The 7,874-nt window shown below is 44.2% G+C and overlaps 1 annotated feature.

Moving 5' to 3' along the window:
• Positions 5,530 to 6,030: an enhancer, noted in NCBI's record as "H3K4me1 hESC enhancer chr18:73090414-73090914 (GRCh37/hg19 assembly coordinates)". NCBI's record gives its function as "activates a minimal SCP1, AML or CMV promoter by ChIP-STARR-seq in naive H9 embryonic stem cells {active_cell/tissue: H9 hESC(naive)}" and the evidence as "EXISTENCE:reporter gene assay evidence [ECO:0000049][PMID:30033119]".

Consider the following 7,874-nt stretch of genomic DNA (forward strand, 5'->3'; position numbering starts at 1 on the left):
GTGTTGCCTGTGTATCAGTTAGCTGTGCTGCATAACAAACTATCCCTAAACTAGTGACTTTAAACAACAATATGTTGTTTAGCTCACGATTCTATGGGTCAGCAATGTGGGCTGTACTCAAGTGGGCAGATCCCCTGGTCTCAACTGTGCTCACTCAGGCATCTCCAGCAGGTGAGCCCAGGCCTGCTCAGGTGGTGGCTAGGCCACAGGTTCCAGAAGCGTGACGGCATTCCAGGCCTCAGGAGCTTGGGCCTTGAGCTGGCCTGCTGCCACCTCTGCTACATTCTATGGGTCAATCCAAGTCACTGGCCAGCCCAGATTCAAGGGGTGGGGAAAGACTTCACCTCATGATATGAAGAGCTTCAAAGTCACACTGCAAAGGAACATAGGAAATGGAAGGAAGACAATTTGCAAAGAATTTCCCATACCCTGATCCACTGCACACTCCCGCCCCCTCACGAGTGAGAAGCTCTTGTGGGAGATGAACGGGGAGGAGAAGACAACTTCTGCCCTTGAAGAAATGACAAACCACAGTTTCCAGCATGAGAAGGGCTATCAGTCTGGTGTGGAAGAGACCACCCTCTCATTGTGAGCTATCAGGGGTACGATTTGTTACCTACATATGTGTTTATCCATGTTCTTCTGTGTTAGGGCTTTTCTAACTTTTTTCAAAGGGTGGCATAGTAAATATTTCAGAGTCTTTGCTGCCTACCCACCTCCAGCATTGTGGCATGAAATGTGTCACCAAATGGACGTGTTCCAATAACACATTTTGCAAAAACAGCCGGTGGGCTGCACTGGCTCTCAGGTCATAGTTTTCTGACTCCCTGATCAATTTCAAATCTATGTCTATCTTTTAGTTTTCTTTCTAGAGGGGCTGTATGCTAGGGCTCTTATGGCAAAAAACTAGGTGTCAGTTGTTATTTTTCTTGTTGTTGAAGAGCCTCTTTCCTGGTGTTTCCAGACTCTGCAGTGATGAGGGAGCCACAGATCCACCTCTCTGAGCTCATGTGCATTTCAAGGCCTGCTTCCATGTCGTGAATGTGCATGACTCTTGAGGCCAACACTGCTGTCTGTCTCCTAAACACTGATGTGGCATCTCCTGAAAATGAGCTTTGGGCCACACTCGATTTCCTGAAATATCATCACAAAGATTATTACAAATAAAATAATTTGGGAGCATCATTATATTATATCATATTCTTGCTAAAATGTGAGATCGCCTTCCTGGGCTCCAGGCTGGAAGGAACAGTAGAGTATTATTAAAGAGTTAGCTATGACAAGTGGATAAAAAGCAAAACCGAATGCAGAAGTCTGCTATTTAATGTAGTGCGCGCCGGCGTTTACCCAGCTCTGTGTCTGTCATGCACGGCTCTTTTCTGAGAATGGCACAGACTGTTCTGCATTTGGTTTCTAGAATCAGCAAATTACATTGGCAGAACAAAGCTGTCATATTTGGTGGTATTTTGTTACATCCATTATTTCACTTAAGTTTAAACATCTCTTTGCAAAATCAGATCCTACTTTAAAAAATTGCCGTGTTTTGCAACATTAAACAAAATGACAAGCTAGAAAAAAAGTTGATTAGTAAGCAATGCATTGAGGAAAACTCTCCTTTAGGTTCAGAAATGCAGACTTAAGTCAACAAATGCAGTCACCTTTCTTATAAACAAGAATGTGGTTTGGAACTTGCAAAAATTTCCAATTAAGTTACGCTCAGTGAAACCACAGAGTCTGGACCACTGGCCCTTGGTAGCTGGGCAGAGGCTAAGTGGGGCTTGTTGCTACTGACACAAAGAAGCCTTGGCTCAGCCAGCACACTTAGCACCTTGTCAGCCCCGTCACCAGCACATGCCGATTGGTCTCGCCCATGGAGACCAAACCACCTGCCAATGGACTGAGTGCTCTCCTGTACCGTCCTCTTGTTTGGCTTCATGTAGACACAACTTATGTCTAAAGCCACCTTCTGATAAAGGAAAGATAATGCAGATATAGTCTATGTCTTAATCAGGGTTCTCCAGAGAAATAGAACCAATAGGATGAGATACACAGATAATGGGAATTTGCTCCAGTTGTTATGGAAGCTGAGAAGTCCCATAACCTGCCATCTGCAAGCTAGAGACCCAGAAAGCCTGGTGGTGTAATTCAGTTCAAGTATGAAGGCCTGAGAACCAGGAGTGCCGATGTCCGAGGGCAGGAAAAGAGGGAGGTCCCAGCTCAAGCAGAGAGAACACATTTTCTCTCCTTCCACCTCTTTGTTCTAAACAGACCCTCAATGCCCACCCACACTGGGGAGAGTGATCTCCACTCAGTCCACTGACACAAATGCCAATTTCTTCCCAAAACACCCTCACAGACACACCCAGAAATCATGTTTTACCAGTTATCTGGGCATATCTTAGCCCAGTCAAGTTGAAACTTAAAATTAACCATCACAGTCCAAATCTTTCTTTTCCCTATTTTTATAAACAAAGCATAGAGAGCAGAAGCACACTTTACAAATACATGTGCGACTGCCATGAAATTGCACAAATAGTCACAGCTCGTGGTTGCACCTGTCTGCATCTTGGGTGTCCTCTGGCTGCGGGGGAGAAAGTTTGTTTCCCACAAATGTCTGCGGTCCAGATCCTGCCTGTGCCATCCTCCAAGTATTCAGTGCTCTATTCTTGGATTCTACTTCTCCCTACATTCCTCCATGGTTCCCAGTCTTGGAGCCTGCTAATGGGGTCTGGCAAGTGTCTGCACACTTCACCTCACCGAGGCACCTGCATCTTCCGTCTCTCTTTACCAAGCCAGATGTCAGGTTGGGTGGATTTCTTTCCCACTTACCTTCTGACCTCTTCCTAAATAAGCACTTCCTGCTAGGCCTCATGCAGCCAGTTGGTACGGTGCTGAGCAAGACCCCAAGGCCCTGGAATGTGAAGCCCCTGTACCAGGGGAAACTCTCCTTTAGGTTCAGAAATAAAGACTTAAGTCCACACCTGGCACAGGCAGGTGTGGAGAAGGCACTGGCTTTACCTGGATGAGCCTGGGAAATCATGGTGGTGATGGAATTTCAAATGTGTTTAAAGAAGGGCAGAGACTGATGAATAATGTTTATTCATTCTCAAGGGAGCAGATGCATTTAGAGCCATCATTTAAAACAGGGATCATCGAGCTTATTCTATAAAGAGGCAGACAGTACATGTTTTAGGATTTTTGGACCACACAGTCTCTGTCACAATGACTCAGCTTTGCCATTGTAGCGTGCAAACAGCCACAAACCATATGCAAACAAAGAGGGTGTGGTTGTATGCCAATAAAACTTTATTTACAAAAGCAGGAGGACAGTGGAGTTGGCTTGCAGACAGTCATTTGCAGAGCCCTGATTTAAAGAGTAAAATGTCAGAAAGAAGGGATCTTTAAGGGATCTTTAAGTTGATGTGTTTGTGATTGGAGCAGAGTAGGCTTGTTGCGGGGGTAGGTGACAGGTAAGAGGCAAATGTGAATGTGAGATTTATGGACTTAATTATATAGAGATGGCAAGGCACTTGGAGTTCCTTGGAGGGGTTGGGATGGACAAATCACAGGCAGAGAAAACAATGTGTTACATTTTCTACTTTTAGGACATTGGTATATTATATTCTAAATTGTTAATTCCTTGGGGAGGAGGAAATAAAAGGAAACCTACAAGTGATTATTGGTTTTAACTGTGCTCCTAGTGAGGTGGACTTTGTCATCTCATTTTATACAAAAGAAAGTTAAGGGTCTGAGAGGTGGAATAAGTTGTCCATGGGGACTTTCCTAAATTCATATTCTCTCCTCTCAAGCACACGTCCCTGGTTGGTTCTTTTTGAATTCTTTGTGGCACCTGGCAGAGCTCTCACTTGTCCTGAGTGACAAATAACTGTTCTGGCCAATCTTCCCTCTCTCTGCTGCTGAATCTCATGGGGAGCCTGCTCACCCTCCCCTGCCCTCTGTGTGTTTGAAGGCTGCATCTCCTGGGCTGAGGGTTCGGTGGCCATTGGCTAGGTCTGGCCCTTTCGGGGCATGGGTGAGAGGCGGGGGAGTCAGAGGGAGAGGCCTGGGTGTGCTTTCCCCTTTGCCTGGGGAGCTGGGTCTTCTCTGGGTCTTCTCTGTGGGTGATCTTGTTCTGGCCTTCCTTTGTCCCTCCAGCCTCCAGCTGTTGTGACTTTCTGCTCTTACAAATGTACAGGCTGCCTTAATGTTCCCTATTTGGCTCTTAAGCAACTCCATTACCTACCTGGCTGCTTCTCTGCATTTAACTCCTGGTTGGACCATGCCTGATGCAGAGTCTGTTATTTTAAAGCTTCACTTATTTGTAAATATATTACTTCTTTCAGGTACTATTTTTTTTTTGTAGGCTAAAACTTTGAACCAAAGGAACAAATGTAACAGACCATGTCTGTTCTGTTTTCAGATAAGCCTATGGAGCAGATGTATTCCAGGAAAAACACCTCTCAGCCCTGGCCCCAGCAGCTTCATCCTGGTCATTTGGGTGCCCAAGTATTCCACTCATAAACCACACTGACCTTTCAAATACCACAGGACCGTGCACTTGGCATCTCACATGACAATTCACATGACCGTGAATTGACTGTGGTCTTCTTAGTGAATTAAAAGTATTTTTTAAAAAAGCCCAATTTCTTGCTAAGGATTAAAAACTCTAAGGCTATTGTTAAAAAAGAGACTACATAAATAATATTGTTTTGAAAAGTAATTATTCTGCTTCTGATTTTAGCTCTCATTTTGCCTATGTGCAGCAGGAGAGAAGTTTCTAGATCATCATTAAAACAACAAAACAGTATCTAGATCTTCTTTCCCTTGTTTTACCTTTTAATTTCCATAAATTGGAAAACAAAATTCCAATTTAAGAAGAAACGTGACTTAAAACGTCCAAAATGTGTAAAATAGTTCATTCTAGCCCTTCTGTAAATTCTTACAACTTGGAGTCCAAAGAGAAGCAGCGATACTATGGCCCTGTAATTATTGAGCCCGGGGGACAGCCTGTCCTTCCTTGCATTCGAGTTCACTTCAGCTGCAATAATACAGACAATGAATGTAGCCCTGGCCAACTCTTTCATTTTAATGAAATCCACACTTCTGGTATAAAAATGAAAAAGCAAGACTCAAAGATACTCAGAATCATCATATTTTTCCTAAAGGCAACTATGTCGCTGTGTCCTGCATGTGGACTTGTGCTGTGTGCACATGCTTATGTGGGCGTGCTAGCGCGTGCGCACTCGTGTGCAGCTGTGTGTGTGCCTGTTTATTCCTAATTGAATGGTGGGATGTTACCATTAGTTTGCTGTTTGCAGACAAAATAAAACCCAGCAGAGACCAGTTAAACTTTGAGATTCTTGCGGCTTACCAAACTCAGACTTGCAGCGAAGAGAATAAGAGACAGAGAGAGAAAAGGATGAAAGTGGGAGAAAGAAAAAAGCCTGGTGGTTGGGGGGAGGGATTGTGTTTTTTTCTTTTCCTGAGAAAGTGAATAATGTCATCGTTGATTTAATTAGCAAATTCTAGATGTGCTGACAAAGGAGATTTTCTTGGGCGATGCACTGGGTTGTGTCAGTGCTGTAAATGAATAGGCAGAGCCGAGTTCCTGGTAATCACAGATGAACAACACAACTCGCCAAACCTCAAACAGTGCATAAATCAATTTGCTGGGAATTAACCACTCGCTTCAAAATTAGGGGTTACTTGACAGGGTTTCAGTGATTAGGTTGTCAGGGACCTGTATTTCTAGCTGGGATTTATCTATCATTGATATGAGCGTATCTCCCCCTGAGCTGCAGACTGACTTGCATCGCCAGCTCGCAGGCCGAGCTCAGAGGGTGGGGGCCCTGCCTTCCGGGGAGCAGACGGCCCTCTGGAGGTCACCCGGGCAGAGAGGAGAGGGAAGATGTGCTGGCTCTTCACACTCCTCCTAATGCCTCTCATATTAGCCGGAGAATTGTGAATGAGGGAATGTGTCTTAGAATCCTTCTGACATCACATGACCCCTTTGATAGCATAAAGAGCTTAACAATTTGTTAAACGAGATGCCTAAAAGTGTACAATTGCCCAGAGAAATTAGTGAAAAGCAATAAGGCACCGCAAGGTCACTGAGCTCAGGGAGCTGGATCCACGGTGTCGTCAGGGTGCAGCGCTCTGGGCCTCTGACTTCAAGCTGGGACCAGCTGCCCCTGCTGAGGGCCTCAGCAAGGGGCCTTCCACTCTGGGGCAGGCGGAAGAGGAAAAGGCTGTGATGATCCACCTCCTCAGGCCAGACTGAACATGAATTGGGGAAGGGGCACGCCTTCGGGCCAGGTTTCTTATCTCACACGTTTCCTTTATTGGCCAGCCCTTCACTGACCATTACTAGGTGCACTCCTGCCCACTTAGAAGTGTACACTCCCGCTTGACAGCTCCTTGCTCCCTAAGAACAATCCAGGCGTTCTATTAAGTTTAACCTGTAAGGACCACAGTTTATTAGGCTGGGCCCAAGGACATTAACCCTGCAACACTGTCAAACAACATGGAAATACAGGTCCCCGGTCCCATCACCATAATTTGATAGCAGCAATGCCCAAATCATTAGCCACATTCCCAGAAATCTCTTACCATCCCTTCTCTTTTCCTCTATTTCTTTTCCCTAATTACCTTTTTCTTTCATTATTTCCCAAGTCGGCAAAGCTTAACTTGGGCTCCCTCTTCTTGTTTGGGATTTCTGGAAGGGGGTTTGCTTGCATCTACCCTTGTGATTCATGCATCCTCTTCTCACACTCACCCCTGGCACTCTTGGAAAGCAATGATGTGCCTTTCTCTTCATTTAGATGACCTTCAGCACCTCAAAATCACAGCATCTCCAAGCATCCCTACCCAATTCTTGGGTGCCCAATCCAAGAGTGTCAAGGTCAACTTAAATAGAATGGGTTTGCTTTACTGGGAGGTAAAATAAAATGTTCCTCTTTCAATTACTAGAAAATGCCATTGGATTCAACTGTAGCAGTTTTGGTGTTTCCTTCCTGTAACAGCTCTCCTGCTAATCATGTTTCTTTCTCATATCGCTTCCTGTTCGCTTACAGCCCATTAATTGATCATTAAAGTCCTCCTCAATTTCATTGAGTACCCAACTTCCCTATTTTGGTGTCCTCACAAGGCAAATGTTTACAAGATTGTTATTTTTCTTCTTCACTTAAAAAATGAAACTGACCCATCAATTTCTGTGAATCTTTCTGCCACCCTCCCTAAAATCCACTTTACTTTAGCCATGTCTATGGTCTACTAGGGCAAATATTCAAAAACCTCTAAGCTACTTAAAAACTAAAACCAACTTTATTGATGTACAATTTACATTCCATCAAATAGTTACCTGTTTTCACTGTACAGCCCAATGAATTATAGGAAATTTACATAATTGTGCGACCATCACCATAATCTAACTTTAGAACATTTCCATCAAACCCCACAAAGAAACTCCATGCTCATTAGTAGTCATTCCCCCCTTTGGCTACCCAGCCCTAGCCAACCACTGCTGTAATTCCTGTCTTAATTGGTTTGCCTATTCTGGACGTTTCAAGTAAACAGAATCAAATAATTTGTGGTTTTATGTGTCTGGCTTGTTTCACCTAACAATGTTTTTTGAGGTATATCTGCGTTGTAGCTTGTATCAGTACTTCATTCTTTTCCATGGCTGAATAGTATTCCATTGTATGGATATAGCACATTTTATTTATCCGTTACCAGTTGATGGCCTTTTAGGTTGTTTCCACTTTCAGCCCTAATTTTACCCAGGTGCCGGACTACTTGAATAAGTCCATTATTATAAATCCTTCTTTCTCTGTTACAGGCCATACAGCTTGTCTATTTCCAGGAAGCCCGGAGGT

This window comes from Homo sapiens, chromosome 18 (genome assembly GCF_000001405.40).
Source record: "Homo sapiens chromosome 18, GRCh38.p14 Primary Assembly".
Taxonomy (NCBI): domain Eukaryota; kingdom Metazoa; phylum Chordata; class Mammalia; order Primates; family Hominidae; genus Homo; species Homo sapiens.